At 44.2% G+C, this 22113-nt stretch overlaps 2 long non-coding RNA genes across 12 annotated transcripts in view; one reads left to right on the top strand and one right to left on the bottom strand.

The window, feature by feature from the left end:
* Window positions 1-1963: 1963 nt before the first annotated feature.
* Window positions 1964-3080, bottom strand: LOC105379275 (uncharacterized). Its single transcript, XR_949094.4, has 3 exons — window positions 2979-3080; window positions 2206-2362; window positions 1964-2118 (listed from the first exon to the last, which is right to left on the bottom strand). It is a non-coding gene; the product is annotated as an uncharacterized LOC105379275 (long non-coding RNA).
* A 6041-nt stretch (window positions 3081-9121) lies between these two features.
* Window positions 9122-22113, top strand: part of LOC389831 (uncharacterized) — a 43798-nt gene continuing 30806 nt past the window's right edge. For 5 of the 11 annotated variants that reach the window (NR_144628.2, NR_187195.1, NR_187194.1 and 2 more), the window contains exon 1: window positions 9122-9339. This is a non-coding gene — a long non-coding RNA (uncharacterized LOC389831). Of the gene's footprint in view, window positions 9340-11606; window positions 21737-22113 lie in introns of all 11 variants that reach the window. The other 6 variants (XR_009530071.1, XR_009530072.1, XR_009530073.1 and 3 more) reach the window with 2 other exon arrangements.

Here is a 22113-nt window from a genome sequence, read left to right as displayed (position 1 = left end):
GACCAGCTCAAGAGCCTGGACCCATATGCCACCTTCAGCAGGGTTGACTGCAGCTTCTTGTTCTTCCTGAGCATCTTCTCCAATGGTGACCTGAGAGTTGCGGGAGGCATTGGGGCCAGGATTGAACAGAGGAAAAAGGAGCACGGAGGCCAGGTGCTGAGGACCAGGCCATCTCACCTGGAGAGTTCTGGCCCTGAGACATCCAGACCAGCATGATGTTTAGGTGCAGACAGCTGGCCCTGGGTGGCCCTGTGCTGATCACCGGCCTCAGCCCCTCAAACAGTGGGAAATGGAAGAATGGCTTGGAAATGGGCCCTGTCGACAGTGTGTCACCTGAGCACATTCTCCCAGGGGCCCAAGAGGGGCCATCGTGTCTCTAGAACCAGAACTGGAAGGTGAAACTGCCAGGGGGAACAAGGAAGAGGGTCCTCAGTTGGGTGGAGGGTCTCACAGCAAGACGCCTGGCTTAATCAAGCTTGGCCATTCCTGAAGCACGTTCAGTGACTAAAAGTGCCTACCATGAGCAGCTGGAACACACTCTCTGAGAGCTGCAAGATGCATGGGGACCTCAAGTACCTGTTTGTAATTACAGCCAAGGACCAGCAGGCAGCATTGCTGCATCCACATGGGCTTTTGCTGGAACCAGTAAGTCTCTGCCAGCCCCTCCCAGGCTCCTGGGATGCCACTTGTTCTGGGTCTGTGGACAGATAACCAGGACACTTACTCAGTGAAGCCCATCGCTCAACCCCAGCCCCACCATACCCTGTCTCCTATGCCATTCCTCATCCCAGAAGGAAAGGCAATGCCTTTGTCCCACAGCCCCTGCCTTGTGTCATCTCATGTGGGGGTATGGAATGAACCCGTCAGCCTAAACTCCAGTCCTTCTGCCTGAGGAATCTGTCCCCGCTGTCTTAGTCGCCCTCTAGGGAGCTGTCAGTGGGATAAAGAGCAGCCCTGGAAGAGAGGCCCACCTTCTTCTGTTTGACTTCAGGACAGCCTTTCAGGGCAAGAACCCAGAGCAGATGGAGGCCTCACAGAAGGCTGTGGCAGGGCTCTCGGCTTGGTGGGCTAAGCATCTCCCTCTCTGATGACTGCCATGGGGCCCACAACCACTCATTCAAGAGGGTCACCACCACATTGCAGGTGTTCAGCTGGACGGTTCCCCAGGCAGAGCCTGCCATGGACTGCATACACACAGAGGATGCACACCTTGAAGTTGGACAATGAGGAGAACATTCCTGAAGAGGTGCATGCAGCCTGGCCCTGCCCTCACTGGGAACCCCCTTCCATCTGGGTACTAGACAGAATTCTGTGCACTTTTCTGGAGGCTCCATGCTGGTCTGTTCATTTGGAAGTTTGATGCTGTCCGTGAGGAAGTAACAAAAGAGATATCTCAGAGCAGGTTGTGGGGCACAGGCTGAGAGATTTTCTCCCTCCCTAGTCCCTCTGCAGACACGGGGCTGGAACAAGAACCTGTGGATAATGAGGGAACTTCTCTTCGAGAACCGGCCTGAGCAGCTGCTTCAAGAAAGAGCCACATTAAAGTGCCTATAGCCCCTGATGAGGGAATGGTAGCCTCAGGCCCGCCTGCCATGTGTGAGCAGGTTTTCTTGCTATCAGGATGAAAGCAAAGAAAGCTGGAATGAGCCCAGCCCTCTCAGGCACCTTGAAGACTGTTGGGGTTCCTTCCAGCCCTTCTAGCCTTATGCTTTTTGGCAGGCCACTCAGGCACCTTTTTCCAGCCTCTGAGACTTCCATGCTCTGGAAGGAGAGGGTCCCACTTTTCACTAGGCTATGGGGCCAGGCCCATCCAGCTCCCGGCTTCCACTAACAACCATGGGGCTCTCACCTGGGCACACACTGCCCAAACATGGACCTTCTAAGGCAGAAGATCATGTGTCTTGCAGTTCCAGCTTTCTAGGGCTTAAAAGTTATCAGTGCTGTTATTAAGATAGGGAAGTGAGAAAGGAAAACTTGCTGTAAAAGTTTCCCATAATCTTACCACGGAGATCATCAGCACAGATGACAGCACAGGTAGGGCTGCTGGGGAGGCTGAAGGAGAGTGTCCAGCCTGTTCTGCCAGCTGGTCCTTGCCAGGGGTGTCTCGTGACCCAGTCCCTTAGAGAAGCATGCAGATATCTCAGCAAGTATCTGGAAGGTGCAGATCAGGGCAACCCAGCACTACTGATGGTGGAGTGGGCCTACCTCCCATCAAGCTGTGTCTCCACAGCTGACCCTTGTAACCAGGAGGTGTTTTACAACATGTGCAAGGCAGTGAGCTCCATCAGCTGTGTGGCATTCAACACTCACTTCAACTCGGACATCTCACCAGAAAGCAGTGGGGACTGGCCAATGCAGAAGCCTGCAAAGTGGAACAGAGCGTCATGGGGTGGGGGATGTGGGGCCTGCCTGCTCATCTGAGCACTGCTCCCTGAGGGTGTGATCTGCAGGCTTCCTGAAGGAGGGCTGTGAGCTCTTCTGCGAGGCCCTGAGCCTGTGGAACATAGCTGAGGCCAAGCCCATGGGGATTTGTGTCTACTTGCACCTCCTTGCTCATCTCAGTACACTACAGGTGACTGTGCCGAGGTGGGCCTTGAGCATCCCCTGGGCTGTGTCAGCAAACGGCTCTGGGCCTGGCCTGGCATTGAGGGATGGCAAAAAAGGAGCCTGGGGTTGCATTGTCATCCCCTATGGTAGCATAAAATGAGAGAGTCCAGACCTGCAGGACTGGAACCCTAACAAAGGGGTTAGGAGACTGCTCACTTTCCCTCAGGAACCCATGTGGAGGAGCTGAGGGAGGTTAAGGAGACCCTAGGGACTCACTTGTTCTGTCTGGGCTTCCCCCTGCTCCATCGTTTGATGACCATTTTCTGGGAAGAGCTCAGGAACCTCCTGTGCTCTAGTGAGACGGGGCCTCCCCTCACAGGGTATTCTGAGACTGTGAGTGAGAAGCTAACACAGTGCCTTGCAATACTCACGGGAGCTGTCATCCTCTGTGACCATCACGTGGCCTTGTAGTGTTCAGACTGCCTGGCCTGCCTGGGGTTTGGTGAGGCTGTTTTGTGGTCAGCTGCTTTAGAAGCTCACTTTCTCTGCAATCAAACAGTGACTGTTTACATGTCTGTTTATGGGTTTAAAAAATCCTAATATTTCCTTTATAGTAGTTCACCTTGTATGTGTTTATTTGTATAAATTTTATTAGAATAAAGATAGCTTAAGACAATAGCATTTTAAGGTCTTAATGGGGCATAGACTTTCATGTCACAACAGCTAATGTTGACCTCCTTTTGCTGCCTTTGTGTAAATTACACATAAAAAGTGCAGCCAGAGGTGACTAGAGCTGAGCTGCTTGGGCTTGCTTGCTGGCCTGCAGTCAGGTGGACTCTGGCTGTGAGGCAGTGCCCACCCTGGATCTACATCCCCCACTCTCTCTCCTTAGTCCCTGAGTAACCAACAAGGCCGTGCTAATGAGAGGGCGAGTGATGGGCATCGGGCACCCCAATACTATCCGGGAAAATTTGAATGCCATCTGGGCTGGAGCTGTTGGGATTACGGGCTGAGGCTGTCTTGGCTTGTCATGGTGCCACCCACAGATGTGCCTGCCCTGTGCTGCTTCTCCAGAAGCCGGCTGCCCATGGCCCTGAGCCTGTCACACCATGCTTGCTACCTCATGCTGCTTGTGTTTGAAAAACCCATCCCGAGATGACGCTGCTGGATGTAAGTCCTGAAAAGAGGGCATCACCTTTGTCCTGGGGGATTAGGAGCTGACCAGATTCCTCTTGACTCCCTCCCAGAACAAGTGGGGCAGGTGCTGCAATTAATGTTGCCCCCTAGAAGATGTGTTTGCACTGGCTGAGCAAATATACGATGCAGAAACCTAAATGAAGACACGTGAATGGGGTGTGTGGACATCAGTTAGTAGCTGGGAAACAGGTGCCTCTCAGGCATCTCGTGTTCCAGCAAGTGTGGAATATGCCTGTGCCCATGAGTGTAGACATCTGAAGTGTATACATTTGGCTGCTGCTTTTGCTGCCACTATTCCCAGGCCCAACCTGGCTTAAAGTCCAGGTTTTAAGTAAAAAGTAGGAGGCTTTTTGCCATACAGCTACTTGAGAGGCTGAGGTGAAAGCATCACTGGAGCCTAAGAGATTGAGGCTGCAGTGACCCATGATTCAGCCACTGCACTGACACAGTGAGACCTGCGTGTGCCCTTCTACAGAGAATAGCTCTGGGGCATTTGGGGATCCCTACAGTCCCGGACCCTCCCTGTCCCCTGCTGCCTGTGCTCCTTTCCTTGCCTGCTGTCAGAGCCTAACATGGAGGCGGTTGCCACCCTGTGAGCCTGAGGGAGCTGTGTCTGACTGGAACTTCTGTCTGAGGTTTTGCGAAGTCTTACTTATGAATATGGTCTGTCCAGATACCTTGTTTCAAAGGAAGTGAGCATGAGATAGCAAGTGTAGCCACCCCACAGCTGATAAACAACTTTGTCTTGTTTTTAAATCATCAATCTTCATTTCACATTGGAATAAAGTAAGTGAAACCTGCTACCCGAGCCTCGCCCGTGTGTTCTGTAACCCAGACTCATGTGGTTGTGTGGGCTGTTGTCAGAAATGTTATAAAAAGGTTATGCATAAATTAGATCAAATATAAAATTATGCTTATAATGTCACTTGAGTGGGAGGTAAGAGGGTAGAGTCACAGGAAATCTGTTGGGGTTTACACCCCTGCTACTTACCAAGCTCATGAGAGTGTGGCACTGGTGACCATCACCTGACATTGGTGACAGAAGAGAAAAGGCCGAAGTGAAGGCCAGGTAGGAGAGAGGTGCCAGGCTGTGGGGCCAGGCCCTGCGCATGCTGGGCCTGTTAGGTCACTGAACATCTAACTACCCGGGAACCAGCTCTTTTCACATCATTTGAGGTAAGACGATGGGGGAGCACTCTCCAGAAGTCACACTGCGCTGGGAGAATGGAGGAGAGTCTACATACCGCCATCTTAGGGTAGGTTTTAGATTGAGCTGAACTGTCTTGGAGAGCTAATGAGATGGGAGGAAGACAGTCCCCCAGGTGCACCTAACAGCCAGAGCCTATGAAGTTATGGGGGTTGTGTGGGGGTGGCCTTTCCCTATAAGAGGAGGAGCTTAAAGCTCTTAAAGCTGGTGGCTGCTGCTCTGCCATCCCTCTACAGAGCAGTCAAGTCCTCAGCTGCAAGAATATCTGAATGTCTTTTGGAGTGTTAGAGTCCTCTGTGTCTTAGAAATTTTGAAAAGAAAAACAAATCTCAATTTTAATGTTGATTGGTTTCTCTGAGCCAGTTGGGAAAAAAGATGTCCTTCACCTCAAAGGTTTAAGTGACACCGAAGGGTAGCCACCAGTGTCTCGGCCACTGAAGCCTCATGCATGCTCTCACTACCAGTTTGATTTGCAGCCCCATAGTTGTGTTGTACTAAATATTCTTTCCTCTGGCCTTGTCCAGTGAACACGGTTCACATGGCTAACACCACTTCTTGAGATGCGAGCACCATGCAAAGCTGAGAACGGATTGGGTTTTGTGACCATTGTGCCTCCTCCTCACCTGAGAGGCCCATTTTTCCTGGTTGATTCATTAAGTGTATTGGTGCTGTCAGTCGCCTCTGGACAATTCAAATGACAAGTGGCTGTTGATTCATAAAGAAAATGAAGGCTTTAGATGTGAAACCCTCGTTTTCTCTTGTCCTTCTCTTAGGTGAAAGATTTTATTTTTTTCAAAAGGCTACATACTGGTATCCCAGCAGGTGTAGTGTGAGAACTGGCATATGTTAGGCTATGGTGTCAGTGTGGATGGGCAATTCTTCAAGATGGAAAACCAAGTCTCACTGAGTTGCTGGAGCCACAGTGACCTTTCTCCACATCCCCCACCGTGGGCTTTCACTTTTATCCTGTGCTTGAATTTTTTTCACATACAAATTCTTTATACACACACACAGACACACACACACATATCTCACTCTGTCAATGCAGTGGCTGAATCATGGGTCACTGCATCTTCAAATTCTTAGGCTCCAGTGATGCTTTCAAATCAGCCTCTCAAGTAGCTGGGACTACAGGCATGCAAAGCTACACCCAGACAATTTTTAAATATTTTTCTAGAGACTGAGCCTACTTATGTTGCTCAGACTCGTCTTGCACTCCTGGGATCAAGCGATAATCCCACCTTGACCACCCAAAGTGTTTAGATTACAGGTGTGAGCTAGCACTCTCAGCAAAAATATATTTTAAAGAACCGTTACAACCAAATTATGAGTTATCATTATGCCACTGCCCTCCACCCTGGGCACCAGAACAAGACCTTGTATCCAAAAACTAAGCAAAACTAAACAAGAACAAAAAAAAAAAACTTATAAATAAACTTTGAAGATTGTGTCATCTGTGTCCTTCCCTGCCCTCCAAGCTATCAATGTTAAATATAATGGTTATTGAGAAAATGGTTAGATATTATTAAGAAATTTCTATATATCTTCCAGCTGAGAATAGGTATTCTGTTGTGGCCCAAATATTTTCTCACCGCTACCTTCAGGGTCTAAACTAGCAAATCAGGACACCTGCAGAGGACAGTTGGCCGTTTTCAAATAGAAAGAGAAATACCCCCGTTCATGAGAGTAATCCAGTGATTTTCAAAAAGACAAGTCACACTGACATCCAGCGCAGTCAGGCCACAATTACCCTGGAATAATCACTTCACACAGAATGGTTGAGGAGACTTTCTAAGATGAGCAAATTTGGGCAGCATAATCCTTGCTTATTTATTCCCAGCCCCCACTGCCCGCCTGATTCCTAATGGCTACCCTACAATGTGGTCAGCAGTGGGATGTAGCGTGGTGAGAGAGGGGCTCAGGGACGGGATGAAGGTCTTTCCTGCATTATCAAAATGCAGGTTAAAAAGTTGTTAAAAAGATGTCCAAATGTTCTAATTCCTACTGTTAAATAGCTGCTAAGATGCATTATACAACAGACCCAGGTAAGGGAAGGAGCATGTGCATTTCAAGTCTCAGCTCACTTCTTAATTAGCTGTGATACTCTGGGCAGGTGACCCCAACTATACGAGCCTGTGTGCCTGTCAACCCAAAACAATCCTAAGCAAAAACACCAAAGCTTGGGGCATCTTGCTACCCGACTTCAAACTATACTACAAGGCTGCAGTAACCAAAACAGCACAGTACTAATACCAAAACAGATATATAGACCAATGGAACAGAACAGAGGCCTCAGTAATAACATCACACATCTACAACCATCTGATCTCTAACAAACCTGACAAAAACAAGCAATGGAGAAAGATTTACTACTTACCAAATGGTGCTGAAAGAACTGGCTAGCCACATTCAGAAAACAGAAACTGGACCCCTTCTTTACACCTTATACAAACATTATCTCAAGATGGATTAAAGTCTTAAATATAAAACACCAAACCACAAAAACCCTAGAAGAAAACCTAGGCAATACCATTCAGGACATAGGCATGAGCAAAGACTTCAGGAATAAAATACCAAAAGCAATCACAACAAAAGCTAAAATTGACAAATGAGATCTAATTAAACTAACGAGCTTCTGCACAGCAAAAGAATCTATCATCAGAGTGACCAGGCAACCTACAGAATGACAGAAAATTTTTGCAATCTATCCATGTGTCAGAGGTCTAATATCCAGAATCTACAAGGAACTTAATTTCACACACACACACAAAAAAAACATCAAAAAGTGAGTAAAGAATATGAACAGACTATTCTCAAAAGAAGACATTTGGCTGGGCGTGGTTGATCAAGCCTGTAATCCCAGGACTTTCAGCCATGGAGGCAGGTGGATCATGAGGTCAGGTGTTCAAGACTAGCCTGGGCAACATGGTGAAACCATGTCTCTACTAAAAACACAAAAAATTAGCATGGTGTTTTGGCGGGTGGCTGTGATTCCAGCTTCTTGGGAGGATAAGGCAGGAGAATCACTTGAACCTGGGTGGCAGATGTTGCAGTGAGCTGAGATCCTGCCACTGCACTCCAGCCTGGGTGACAGAGCTAGACTCCGTCTTTAAAATAATAATAAATAAAATAAATAAAAAGAAAAGGAAGAAGGAGAAGAAGAAGAGGAAGAAGAAGAAGAAGAAGAAGAAGAAGAAGAAGAAGAAGAAGAAGAAGAAGAAGAAGAAGAAGACATTTATGTGGTCAACAAACACACAAAAAGGAAAAAGAAAAAAGCTCATCATCACTGATGATTAGAGAAATGCAAATCAAAACCACAATGGGATACCATCTCACACCATTTGGAATGGCAGTTATTAAAATGTCAGGAACAACAGATGCTGATGAGGCTATGGAGAAATAGAAACGCTTTTACACTGCTGGGGGCGGGAGTGTAAATTACTTCAACCATTATGGAAGACAGTGTGGTGATTCCCTAAGTATCTAGAACCAGAAATACCATTTGACCCAGCAATCTCATTACTGGTTATATACCCAAAGGAATATAAATCATTCTAGCATAAAGACACATGCACTCATATATCTATTGCAGCACTGTTTACAATAACAAAGACTTGGAACCAACCTAATGCCCATCATTGATAGACTGGAAAAAGAAAATGTGGCACATATACACCATGAAATAATATTCAGCCATAAAAAGAATGAGTTCATGTCCTTTGCAGGGACGTGAATGACACTGGAAACCATTCTCTTCAGCAAACTAACACGGGAACAGGAAACAGAACACCGTATGTTCTCACTCATATGTGGGAGTTGAACAATGAGAACACATGGACACCGGGAACAAAACATCACACACTGGGGCCTGTTAGGGTGTTGAGGTCAAGGGGAGGGAGAAAATTAGGACAAATACCTAATGCATATGGGGCTTAAATCCTAGACGTCAGGTTGATAGAAGCAGCAAACCACCATGGCACATGTAAACCTATGTAACAAACCTGCACGTTCTGCACATGTATTCCAGAACTTAAAGTAAAACAAACTAACAAAAATGCACTAAGGCTGAGGGGGAGTGGGGGTAGGGGCAGGAGTCAGGCGGGGGTGGGTGAGTCCTGGAGTTTTATCCAGTCATTGACACTGATGTGGGAACAGCCCAATCAGGCGCGCAGTTGGAGAGGACAGGAGAGGAGGGCGTGGCTTCTGGCGTTTGGCGGGTCTTTGTCTCTCGCTGGCGCTGGCACAGGAACTTGGGATCCGTCTCCTCTTTCGCCTCCTCCGCTTTGGGAGCCCCGGGCTACTCTTTCACAGCCCCTGTTGCCCTGTGATCTGTAGGTCCTTGGGGACGCACAGTTAAGATGACAGGACATCCTGGAAGCTGGGAAATGGTGAGTATACGGGGTTCGGCATCCCGAGAGGGGAGAGCAGGCTGTGAAACCGGCAGGACCGGCCCCCACGGTTAGCTCCGAGTCTCCCGCAGCTTGGCCCTCAGTCCCCTGTGGCTGCAAGATGGCCGCTGGGCCAGCATCGAGGACCCCCACATCCGGCCTGGCCCATCCGGTGCTGTCCCTGGGCAGCGCCCTGCTCTGCGCCCACAGCCATGAGTATTTCCCAGATTGTTCAGGGAGGCCTGGTGGGTCATCAGGGAAAAACTGCCACTGGGTGTTTGCGTGGGAGGAGCTGCGGCCCGTGGGGTCCCCAGTCTCTCTTGTTAAAAATTAACGGGAGTCTATGTTAAAACGTTAACCAGTTTATCTGAACAAACAGTGATTGGTGAAATGGAAAGCACCCAGCCATGATTTCTGGTCCACCAGAGGGGCATAAAGGAAAGGCTTTCATAAGATGCATGAGAAAGCAGCCCAAATTCAAAAATTGGTTCCAGTTATGTAGTCACCTTATTTGAACTATCCAGATGGAAATGTCCTGGTTACATATTCAGAGGTTAATTGCATGTTTGCCATTGGTTAAACGTGCATTTTGTTTCAGGCTAAGATAATGCTTTATAGGAAATGTATTTGAGTTAGGTTTTAGTTTTTGTTTTTTTTTTTTTAACCTATGAACCCAGGACACTAGAGCCACTTTAGTCTAATTTTCTGCTCTTTAATTATTTTAACACTCCAGAGGAGGACTGGTTTTCTCCTGTGTTTTTTTAATATATGGCAAGTGGAACCTCTAATCGACCACCCTGTTTTTCAGCCTAACTCAGGCTTGTGGTAAAATTATCAGTTCCCACTTTCTTTGCTGCATTCTCAAATGCAACACAGGAGAACAGCTTTCCCTTGCAAATTCACAATGCTGTTAACTATTTGTCCTTTATTATACATTTCATTAAAGTTTTCTATTATTGGATTTCTTTCTACTTCTCCCTACAGTTCTGCCCATATTTGCTTTTTATATTTAGAAGCCTCCCTTTTGGGTGCATAAATATATATAGCTATATTCACTTGACAAATTAACCTCTATTATTATTGTATGGTAAACTCATTTCATGCTTGTGAGAGACATTGCTAGAAAGTCTATTTTGTCTAATTTAAGCATAACTACCATTGAACTCCTTTGGCTATTATTTGCATGGAATATCATTTTCTATCCTTTCACTTTTAGCCTATGCTCTTAATTCATAATTGAGTCTCTTGTAAGCAGCATATTACGAGGTTTAAAAGTTTCATTTATCCACTCTGTCTGCTTTAGTCTCTTTTGGCTGTTATAACAGAATATCACAGACTGGTAATTAATAAAGAACAGAATTTTATTTGACTCATGATTCTGGAGGCTGGGAAGGTAAAAGAACATGTTACTGGTATCTGTTGAAGGTCTAGTTGCTGGATAATAACATGGCCAAAGATGTGAGGGAGAGACAGCTTTTTTTTTTTTAATATATAACAGATCCATTCTTGTTAAAATTAGCCCATTCCCATAATAAGAACATTAATCCATTCATGAGGGCAGAGTGCTTATAGCTTAATTAATTTTTAAAGGTTCCACCTCTTAATTCTTTCACATTGGCCATTTTATCCTAAATTTTGGAGATGACATTCAGTCTACAGAAGTATCTGTTTAGTAGATAATTTAATCTTTTTATTTGTAAGGTAGTGATAAGTAAGCAGTTACTATTGTACATTTGTAGTTTTCTGTCCATTTTAAGTTTGCTTCTTTTTTTTCTGGTTCTGTCTTTCCTGTGGTATTGTTCATTTTTGTTGAGACAAAGTTATGCTTTCTTGCTCAGACTGAAGTTCAGTGGCATATCACAGCTCACTGTAGCCTCAATCTCCTGGGCTCAAGCAATCCTCCCCCCTTAGCCACCCAAGTAGCTTGGACTACTTGGACACGTACCACAACACCCAAGGAGCTTATGATTCTTCCACCTTGGCCTCCAAAAGTGTTGGAATTATAAGCAGGAGCCACTGTATCCAATGTGTAATTTTTGTTGTTTGTGTATGCTTTAATTACTTTCTCTTTTTCTTTACTATGTTTTTTTTTCCCCCAGTGGTTATCATGAGACTTATGTAAAACCTCTTGTATTTTAATAGTCTAGTTTAAGATGATAACAATTTAGAGTATTCTGAATTTCAGTATGTATTTACCATTTTTAGTGACATTTATACTTTAGTATTTTTCATATTGTTAGTTAGCATTTCATCATATCAATGTGAAGATTTCTTCCAGACCATGGCTGGAGAAGGAAAGAAGGTGTGTTTTGCCTGATTCAGGGACTATAGAGAGAACCAAGTTCTGCAGGCCTGTCACCTAAGTCTCAGATGAGTATGAATTCTTTTGTGTTTTTCACAGATTTTTGCAGTGGCAGGACCAAGTTCAAATGAGTCATAGCCAAGTTTACAGTAAGATGTGGTAGTATTCTGTTTTGAACCGAGGACCATGATTGGCAAGCTTGCCACTTGGTCAAGTGCTTACCCTCTAAAGATGTCTTCCTTGGTCTTTGCCTCCAGCTGGGTGTCACAAACTCTGAACTGGATTCTAAGGCTTTCATGAATGCACTTATGTTTCCCGTGGCAGCTGCATTATGTTGTGGGGGATGTGCATGCCGAACCTCCCATTCTGTCATCTTGCTTATGTTACTCTCCTTTATGTTTCACTTTCTCAAATGAATGTCAAGCTGGTGATTTTTAGATTCAAAAATTCTAAAATAAATTGCTCAAATTTCCACATTATGTAAGCTATTAATAAAATGTCTTGTAGGTGCTACATATTTATTAAAATTTTTGGTTGTAATTTTAAGCTCACTGCAGGCAGAAAGGAATCATTAACATTTATATTCTTTTTTTTAGTCTGTATCTAAATGATGGCATATTTTAATTCCAGATATTTACTTTATACTGCAGTAATGCTCGTCATATTTTGCAAAATTTATGTTGTTCTTTTATTTGGAAATATAAGGCTTTTTTAGCTCCTGAAATCTATATTATAGTCATATAATTTTATTATGTTTTGTGGTAAGAAGTGCAGCAACATATTGAGAACATAATAAAATTATCCTGTATTTTTAATGATTATTTATTAAATTCCTCTCATTAGAGCCTGTTATTAATGATTGTAATGTATTTTCTGTATAATTTTACTGCAATTTATTAAATTCTAATGACTTAAATTGTCTGCTTTTCATGAGTGCACACAGTTGAATGCTGTAGATATCTAAAGAATTATTTTTCGGCCGGTTGTGGTGGCTCATGCCTGTATTCCCAGCACCTTGGGAGGCCAAGGCGGGTGGATCACGAGGTCAGGAGATCGAGACAACCCTGACTAACATGGTGAAACCCCGTCTCTACTAAATATACAAAAAATTAACCGGGCATAGTGGCAGGCGCCTGTATCCCCAGCTACTCAGGAGGCTGAGGCAGGAGAATGGCGTGAACTCAGTGGACAGAGTTTGCAGTGAGCCGAGATCGCGCCACTGCACTCCAGCCTGGGCAACAGGGCAAGACTCTGTCTCAAAAAAAAAATAAAAAAAAAAACGGTTATTTTCCATTGTAAATCTATGTTGTATTCAGGATTTTATGCACGAAAATCTCTCTTCTTATTTTCAAGTCCGTGTTATTGTGTTTCTTTTCTTGGGAGTTATGTTTTCTCAGATCAGTTAAATGTATTTTTATTTTAAAGCTTGATATCATCAGTTGAAAGATAATTTTTAGCTCGGTACACTTTATCTCAATGTGATGTTTAATATATGTGTGAATTAGCTGTGTTTGTTGCTTATAGATATATCTGTATGTTTTTCACTTATGTAAGTATGACATCTTTTTCCTTGTTTTTTTGTTTTTTTCTTTTCAGTTTCAGATAGGCTTTTTTTTTTTTTTTAAGAGAATTTTAAAACAGAGTCGAAAGAAGAGAAATCAGTTATTTGTCCTCTTGCAGGGTGGGGAGACAACTTCCTTCCCCACAGGTTTGAGGCTATGCCTAAGTGGTGAGTCTTGAGGAGATGCAGAAAGGATCCATCCCAGGCACTTGGCTGGACTTAAGTAAGCATAGCCTTTAGGCCACAAGACCTGATGGTTTGGGTACTGGTCTGGACATAAGTCCCCATCTTCCCAGAAATATCGTCTTTTGTCTGCAACAACTGGCTGGAGAAATATTTCAGAAAGATATGTGTCTGGAACACCCAAAGGCATACTTTTCCTTTCTCCTTGGCATAGGCCTTGCAGCACTGAAGAAAGACCAGGTTTGCAATGGAGCCTTCAACAGTCTTCATCCCTATGGAACTCAGGGTCTCATAGGGTGACAGGAGAGGAGACAAAGCTAACTTGGGAAGAGTCTCTGTCCTTCAGCTTCTCCCCTACTGAAACACTATATATTGGGCCCACAGTTCATCACAAAACACACATGCTCTCTTTCTTTCTCTCACACCCACATCTTGGGAACCCAAAAACTTGATGGCAGGTAGCTCTGGGTATCCTTGGTCTGGCATTCACCCACTGGGAATCTAAGCTGTCCTAAAGCTCTTTTCAATCACTTCTCACTGTTTCCAGGCCCATGTGGGTAGGTGTTCCAGGCTTCATTCTTTCAGGCTGATCATAAAGGCACAGTGTGGGAAAATCCCCTACTGTGATGGCCATTGCTGGGAAGCAGGAAAGGCTAAGGGCCCACTGCTGCCCAAGGCTAGTATAGATGCCCTCTGCTCCACTCATGTCCTCAAAGACTGATATCAGGTGCAGCAGCTGCTGTCTGGAATGTTATCAAACCAGGACTGCACAGGCACTGCATTCTCTGTGTGGAAGACGTAAGAAGCAGGCGAGTTGTCCAGGATGAGAGTTTTCCTCAGGTCCCTCCCCAGATGGCTGAGGTCATTGACATAGCAGCCCTGGTGGAACAAACGTGACTCATGGGCTAGGCAACCCCAGAACACCTCACACTGGTCCAGCACACCCATCACAATGTGTCTGGAATTGGTGGGTTCTTGTTCTCACTGACTTCAAGAATGAAGCCACAGACCCTCACGGTGAGTGTTACAGTTCTTAAAGGTGGCATGTCTGGAGTTTGTTCCTTCTGACATTCGGATGTGTTGAGAGTTTCTTCCCTCTGGTGGGCTCGTGGTCTCGCTGGCTCAGGAGTGAAGCTGCAGACGTTCGCGGTGAGTGTTACAGCTCTTAAGGTGGCACATCTGGAGTTGTTCATTCCTCCAGGTGGGTTCGTGGTCTCGCTGGCTTCAGGAGTGAAGTTGTGGACCTTCACAGTGAGTGTTACAGCTCATAAAGGCATTGTGGACCCAAAGAGTGAGCAGCAGCAATATTTATTGCAAAGAGCAAAAGAACAAAGCTTCCACAGTGTGGAAGGGGACCCGAGTGGGTTGCCACTGCTGGCTGGGGCAGCCTACTTTTATTCCCTTATCTGGCCCCACCCACATCTTGCTGATTGTTAGAGCCGAGTGGTCTTTTTTCACAGGGCGCTGATTGGTGTGTTTACAATCCCTGAGCTAGACACAAAGGTTCTCCACATCCCCCCCAGTGTAGCTAGATACAGAGTGTTGATTGGTGCATTCACAAACCCTGAGCTAGACACAGGGTGCTGGTTGGCATGTTTACAAACCTTGAGCTAGATACAGAGTGCCGATTGGTGTATTTACAATCCCTGAGCTAGACACAAAGTTTCTCCACGTCCCTACCAGACTCAGGAGCCCAGCTGGCTTCACCCAGTGGATCCCCCACAGGGTCTGCAGGTGTAGCTGCCTGCCAGTCTGGCACTGTGCACCCGCACTTCTCAGCCCTTGGGTGGTTGATGGGACTGGGTGCTGTGGAGCAGGGGGCGGCACTCATCCAGGAGGCTTGGGCACACAGGAGCCCACCGATGGGGGGGAGGCTCAGGCATGGCGGGCTGCAGGACCCAAGCCCTGCCCTGTGGGATGGCAGCTAAGGCCCAGCGAGAAATTGAGCACAGCAGCTGCTGGCCGAGGTGTTAAGCCCCTCACTGCCTGGGGCCGGTGGGGCCAGCCGGCGGCTCCGAGTGTGGGGTCCGCCGAGCTCGCGCTGGCCTTCAAGCACTGCACGCCGCCCTGGTTCCCACACGCACCTCTCCCTCCACACCTCGTCGCAAGCTGAGGGAGCCGGCTCCGACCTTGGCCAGCCCAGAAAGGGGCTCCCACAGTGCAGCGACAGGCTGAAGGGCTCCTAAAGTGCCGCCAAAGTTGGAGCCCAGGCAGAGGAGGCCCGGAGAGTGAGCAAGGGTTGTGAGGACTGCCAGCACGCTGTCACCTCTCAACAGGATCTGCATACTTGTTCAGTCTGGAATGAAGAGAGCAATGAAGAAAACACATTTAAACAGTTCCTCCAGTCATCTCAGGAACTCATCCATATAAGGCCTCATGGTCCCCTCAATCTTTACAGTCACTAGGCAGTCAGCATTGCTGATTGGCTTAATGGAGCTATGCACAAGGGTTTCATCCATGTCAGTGACCATACAGATCGTTCCTTGATTTTTCTCTGTCACCTCTGGGAGCAGGCAGGTCCCTGGGATCTGATAAAACTGATACTGGAGACCCTTGAGCTGATCCGACTTAGCAATGGTGTTGACTCCCTCCTTATGTGTGGAGAACTCAGTGGGGGAACTTGACTTGCCAACATGCTGGGTGCAAGAACAGCAGAAAGGTACCTTCTAAGATGTCACAAACATGAGGCCTCTTCGGAGAGCACTTTGGAAACCAGGCCTTGCTTGCTAAGGACCAGGGCATCTTCCCTCCATGCCTGGGTGGTGATGGAGCCTGGTTCCATCTAACAATCCTGAGGGCTCGGCTGGCTGGGTGGGAAGACAGCGGGCACGTTGGCTGGACTGGGCTGGGGGGCATGGGCTGGGGCCTGATTCAGTTCCCGAGAGTCTGACTTCCACAGCTGTTCACATACCCCTTCTCCTTTCCATCACAGGCCGGGAAGGGAGGCGGCCTGTATGGACGGTGGATGGCCTTGGCAGCAGCTCCCCAGGGTGCCCCCAGCCCCAAATCCCCCAGCAGGAGCTTCAGGATCCTCAGTTTGGGTCTAACCTAGGGAATCCACCTCATACTCATGTTTTTTCAAGTTTTATTTTAAGTTCAGTGGTCCATATGTGATAAGCTTTTTTTTCAACTTTTATTTTAAGTTTAGGGGTCCATGTGCAGGATATGCAGGTCTCTTACATAGATAAACGTGTGCCATTGTGCTTTACTGCACAGATCATCTCATCACCCAGGTACTAAGCCCAGCATCCGCAGCTATTCTTCCTGCTGCTCTCCTTCCCCTCCCCCATGCCATGAAACAGGTGTCCAGTGTGTGTTGTTCTTCCTGATGTGTCCATGTGTTCTCATTGATCTGCTTCTGCTAATAAGTTAGAATAATAATAGGTGGTGTTTGGTTTTCTGTTCCTGCATTAGTTTGCTGGGAGTAGTGGCTTCAAATTCCAACCATGTCCCTGCAAAGGACATCATCTCATTACATTTTATGGCTTCATAGTGTTCCATGGTGTATGTGTACCACATTTTCTTTATCCAGTATATCATTGATGGGCATGTAGATTGATTACATGACGTTGCTATTGTAAATATTGCTGCAATGAACATATGTATACATGTTTATTTAAAATAGATTTATATTCCTTTGGGTGTATGCCCAGTAATAGTATTGCTGGGTCAAATGGTATTTCTGCTTCTAGGTCTTTGAGGAATCTCCACACTCTCTTCCACAATGCTTGAAATAATTTACAATCCCACCAACAGTGTAAAAGTGTTCCCTTTTCTCCACAACCTCACCAGCATCTGTTTTTATTTCTTTTTTACTTTTTATTAATAGACATTGTAATTGGTGTGAGATGGTATCTCATTGTTGTTTTGATGTGTATTTATCCACTTATCAGTGATGTTGAGCTTTCCATGTTTGTTGGGCACATGTATGTCTTCTTTTGAGATATGTCTGTTCATGTCCTTTGACCACTTTTTAATGGGGTTGTTTGTTTTTCTCTTGTAAATTTTAAGTCCCTCATAGATTCTGGGTATTAGATATTTGTCAGATGAATAGGTTGCAAAATTTTTCTCCCATTCTCTAGCTTCTCTGCTCTGATGATAGCTTCTTTGGCTCTGTGGAATCTCTTTAGTTTAATTAGACCCCATTAGTCAATTTTTGCTTTTGTTGCTATTTCTTTTGGTCTTTTTGTCATCAAATCTTTCCTCATGACTATATCCTGAATGGTATTTTCTAGATTTTTTCTTCTAAGGTTTTTATAGTTTTGGGTTTTACATTCAAGTCTTTAATCCATCTTGAGTCAATTTTTGTCTATGGTGTTAGGAAGGGTTCCAGTCTTAATTCTCTGCACATGACTAGCCAGTTATCCTAGCACTATTTATTGAATAGGGAGACTTTTCCCTAATTCCTTGTTTTTGTTGACTTTGTCAAAGATCAGTTTGTTGTAGGTTTTTGGCTTTATTTCTATGCTCTCTATTTTGTTTCATTTGTCTATGTGTCTGTTTCTATACCAGTACCATGCTGTTTTTGTTACTGTACTCTTCTAGTACAGTTTGAAGTTAGGCAATGACCCTTTCAGCTTTTTTTTTTTTTTTTTCTTAAGGTTGGCTTGGCTATTTGGGCTCTTTTTTGGTTCCATTTTAATTTTAAAAAGTTTTTTTTTTCTAATTATCTGAAGAATGTCAGTAGTTCAATGGGAACAGCATTGAATCTATAAATTACTTAGGGCAATATGCTCATATTCGTGGTACTGATTCTTTCTCTCCGTGAGCATGGAATGTTTCTCCATTTGTTTTGTGTCCACTCTGATTCCTCTGAGTAGTTGTTTGTAGTTCTCCTTGAAGATATCCTTCACTTTCCTTCTTAGCTGTATTCCTTGGTATTTTTTTCTCTTTATAGCAAATGTGAATGAAAGTTCATTCATGATTTGTCTCCCTGCTTGCCTGTTGCTTGTGTATGGGAATGCTAGCTACTTTTGCAGATTGATTTTATATCCTGAGATTTTGCTACTGCTGCTTATCACCTTAAGAAGCTTTGGGGCTGAGACGAAGAGGCTTTCTAGATATAGGGTCAGGTCATCTGTAAACAAAGATAATTTGACTTTCTCTCTTTCTATTTGAATACTGTTTATTTCTTCCTCTGGCCTGATTTTCCTGGACAAGTTTTCCGAATGGGAGTTGTAATGCGAGTGGTGAGAGAGAGCATACTTTTCTTGTGCCGGTTTTCAGGGGGAATGTTTCCAGCTTTTGCACATTCAGTATGATATTGGCTGTGGGTTTGTTGTATATGGCTCTTCTTATTTTGAGGTATGTTTCTTCAGTTCCTAGTTTATTGAGAATTTTAAACGTGAAGGAATGTTGAATTTTATTGGGTGCTTTTTCTGCATCTATTGAGGTAATCATGTGTTTTTTTTATTTAGTTTTCTTTATGTGATGAGTCACATTTGTTGATTTGCATATGTTGAATCAACCTTGCATCCTGGGGACAAAGCCAATTCCATTGTGGTGGATGCACTTTTTAATGTGCTGCTGGGTTTGGTTTGCCAGTATTTTATTGAGGATGTTTGCACAGTGTTCATCAAAGACATTGGCATGATGTGTTGTTGTTGTTGTTGTTGTATCTATGTTAGGTTTTGGTATCAGGATGATGCTGGCCTGATAGAATGAGTTAGACAGAACTTCTTTGTCTTCAATTTTTTTTGGATAGTTTTAGGAGAAAATGTACTATCTCCTCTTTACCTCAAGTCAAATTCAGCTTGCTTGGTAGGCTAGTTCTTACTGCCTCAATTTCAGAACACATTATTGATCTATTCAGGGTTCAGTCTTGTGGAGAGTTTATTTTGCAAGGAAATTGTCCATTTCTTCTAGATTTTCTGGTTTATGAGCATAGAGGTGTTTATAGTATTCTCTGATCATTGTTCTTATTTCCATGGGATCAGTGATGATATCTCCCTTATTATTTCTATTTGTGTTTGGTTCTTTCTTTTCTTATTTATTTGCCTAACTAGTGTTCCATCTAGTTTATTAATTTTTTTTTTTTTTTTTTCATAAAAACAGCTCCTGGATTGGTTGAGTTTTTTTTTTTTTTTTTTTTTTTTGGAAGAGTTCTCAGTGTCTCTATCTCCTTCAGCTCTACTCTGATCTTGGCTATTTCTTGTTTTCTGCTAGCTTTCAGGTTTGTTTTCACTTGGTTTTCTTGTTCTTTTAATCAAGATGTTAGGCTGTTAACTTCAGATCTTTCTAATTTTTTTTTTTTTCTTGTGGGAGAGTTTCACTCTGTCACCCAGACTGGAGTACAGTGGCATAATCTCGGCTCACTGCAACCTCCTCTTCTCGGTTTTAAGTCACTTCTGCTGTCTCAGCCTCCTGAGTAGCTGGGATTACAGATGTGAATCACCACACCTAGCTAATTTTTGTATTTTTTTGTAGAGATATGGTTTTGCTGTTGGTCAGGCTGGTCCTGAACACCTGGTCTCAAGTGATCTGCCTACCCCAGCCTCCCAAAGTGCTGGAATTACAGGCATGAGCCACCATGACTGGCCCTTTCTAGCTTTTTGATGTGGACATTAGTGCTATAAATTTTCCTCTTTTCTTGGTTTCTAGTGATTATTTTATTCTATCTTGGTGAGTAGTCAGGGAAATAATCTTAAATTTACAATCAACTTATAGTTTAAATCTAAAAAATTATGTGAGAAGAACCCTTTGTTATTTGAAGGGGATGTTTGAAGATTTTGTAACCGTGCCTTTTAGGTAGTCCTAAATTTCTAATTGTAGTTAAAAACATGCCATTTTCATTTCTAACATTTTAAGTATATGGTTTAGAAGTGGTAAGTATAGTTCTATTTTTTTTGCAATAGGTTTTAGATAATTTTTGTCTTACAAAATTAAAAGTGAATACTCATTAATTCTGAAACAAGTTAGTTAGCTTGCTTTAGTTAGATAGCAAGAGAAGGGTCCCTGGAAAGTCCCTGGCCCTTGGGTCAGTATCTCATCCCTGCATAACATAAAAGGAATCCTGGAAAAAATCAAGCTGCAGACACTAACAAGGTAACTAGCACATGGTGTTGTGCTTGGAGACCTGCCCATGGCTGCCCAGACAGAAAAACCTCTGGCCCATTTGGATAAAAACTGGTACAAACCTCCAGCTCACTGAGATAAGGGAACAAGACCGACCTGGCATAGAATTGCCTTTGTTTGGCCAGGCATGGTGGCTCATGCCCGTAATTCCAGCAATTTGGGCGGAAGTGGACGGATCACCTGAGGTCGGGAGTTCGAGACCAGCATGACCAACATGGAGAAACCCTGTCTCTACTAAAAATACAAAATTAGCCGGGCATGGCGCCTCATGCCTGTAATCCCAGCTACTTGGGAGGCTGAGGCAGGAGAATCACTTACATCCAGGTGGCGGAGTTTGCTGTGGGCCGAGATCGCACCACTGCACTCCAGCCTGGGCAACAAGAGCAAAACTACGTCTCAAAATAAATAAATAAATAAATAAATAAATAAATAAATAAATAAATAATAAGAAAGTACATCTCAAAAAAAAAATGAAAGAAAGAAAGAAAAGAAAAAGAAAAAAAGAAACGCCTTTGTACTTTGTGCAGTCAGTGCGCTCCCAGGAAAATGTTTCTTCTCCTTCTGTGGGCATAAGCACAGTGGGCTCTGGTGCATTCCGGTCGACACTCTCCTTTATTTGGACTGTAAGTCTGACCTCTGTGAATAATTACTTCAGCCCCTGATTGCTCCCGGGACAAGCTCCTGCGCCAAGCTTTCACTTTGGCTTCTGATAAGTCCTGGGCCAATCTAAATAGCATGTATGAATCATCCCTTCAGCTCCTGATTGGTCCCGGGCCAAAGTCCTGGGCCAAGCTGAGCCACACTTTTTTCAAGACAGCCTGTGAACTAAGCACATTTCCTTCTCTTCCTTTCCCAGTCCATAAAAACCTTGGGCCCCAGCCTCACAGAGGTCACCCCATTCAGAAACTATCTCTGCTGGCAAAGAGCTTTCTTCTCTTGCTTATCAAACTTTCACTCTAACCTCACCTTTGTGTTCACGCTCCTTAATCTCCCTAGAAGTAGAACAAAGAACTTTCGATGCTATCTCAGACTATGAGAGACTGTTACATCTTGGTGCACTGCTGAGACTACAACACTTGGTTTCTTTGAGTTTGACTAAATATTTTACATAGGTGTAATTATACAGTTTTCCTTTTTGACTGTCTTGTTTTACTTAACAGAATGTTTTCGAGATTTGTCCTTATTGTAGTACTTTTCAAGATTTCCTTATTTTTAAGGCTGAATGCTATCCCAGTGAATATACGTGCCCTGTTTGTTGAATCTACTCATCCTTAAAGGTACATTTGCTTCCAGGTAGTATGTTTGTGAGTAATGCTACAGTGTACATAAATGTGCATATATCTATTCCATGTTCTGCTTTGCCTGTTTGGGATATTTTTCACACACTGATTTAGTACCATGTGTATTCCCTTGCTTTTGTTGTCTGATTCGTTGATGTTACATCCCCCAAATTATTGCCGAGACCAATTGTCATGAAGCTTCACCCTTCTGTATTGTGCTAGGAATTTTACAGCTATAGATTTTACATTATAGTCTTCATATTTTAAAATTGACACATGTAATTGTACAAATTTTGGGGAAACAATTATGTATATATGTTGTATAGCAATAAAAATCAGAGTACTTAGTGTAATTATTGCCTCATACATTTGTT

Source organism: Homo sapiens, unplaced genomic scaffold, assembly GCF_000001405.40.
Source record: "Homo sapiens unplaced genomic scaffold, GRCh38.p14 Primary Assembly HSCHRUN_RANDOM_CTG1".
NCBI classification, from domain to species: domain Eukaryota; kingdom Metazoa; phylum Chordata; class Mammalia; order Primates; family Hominidae; genus Homo; species Homo sapiens.
The sequence above is the reverse complement of the archived record's forward strand: the minus strand, read 5'-3'. Positions and strand labels throughout refer to the sequence as shown.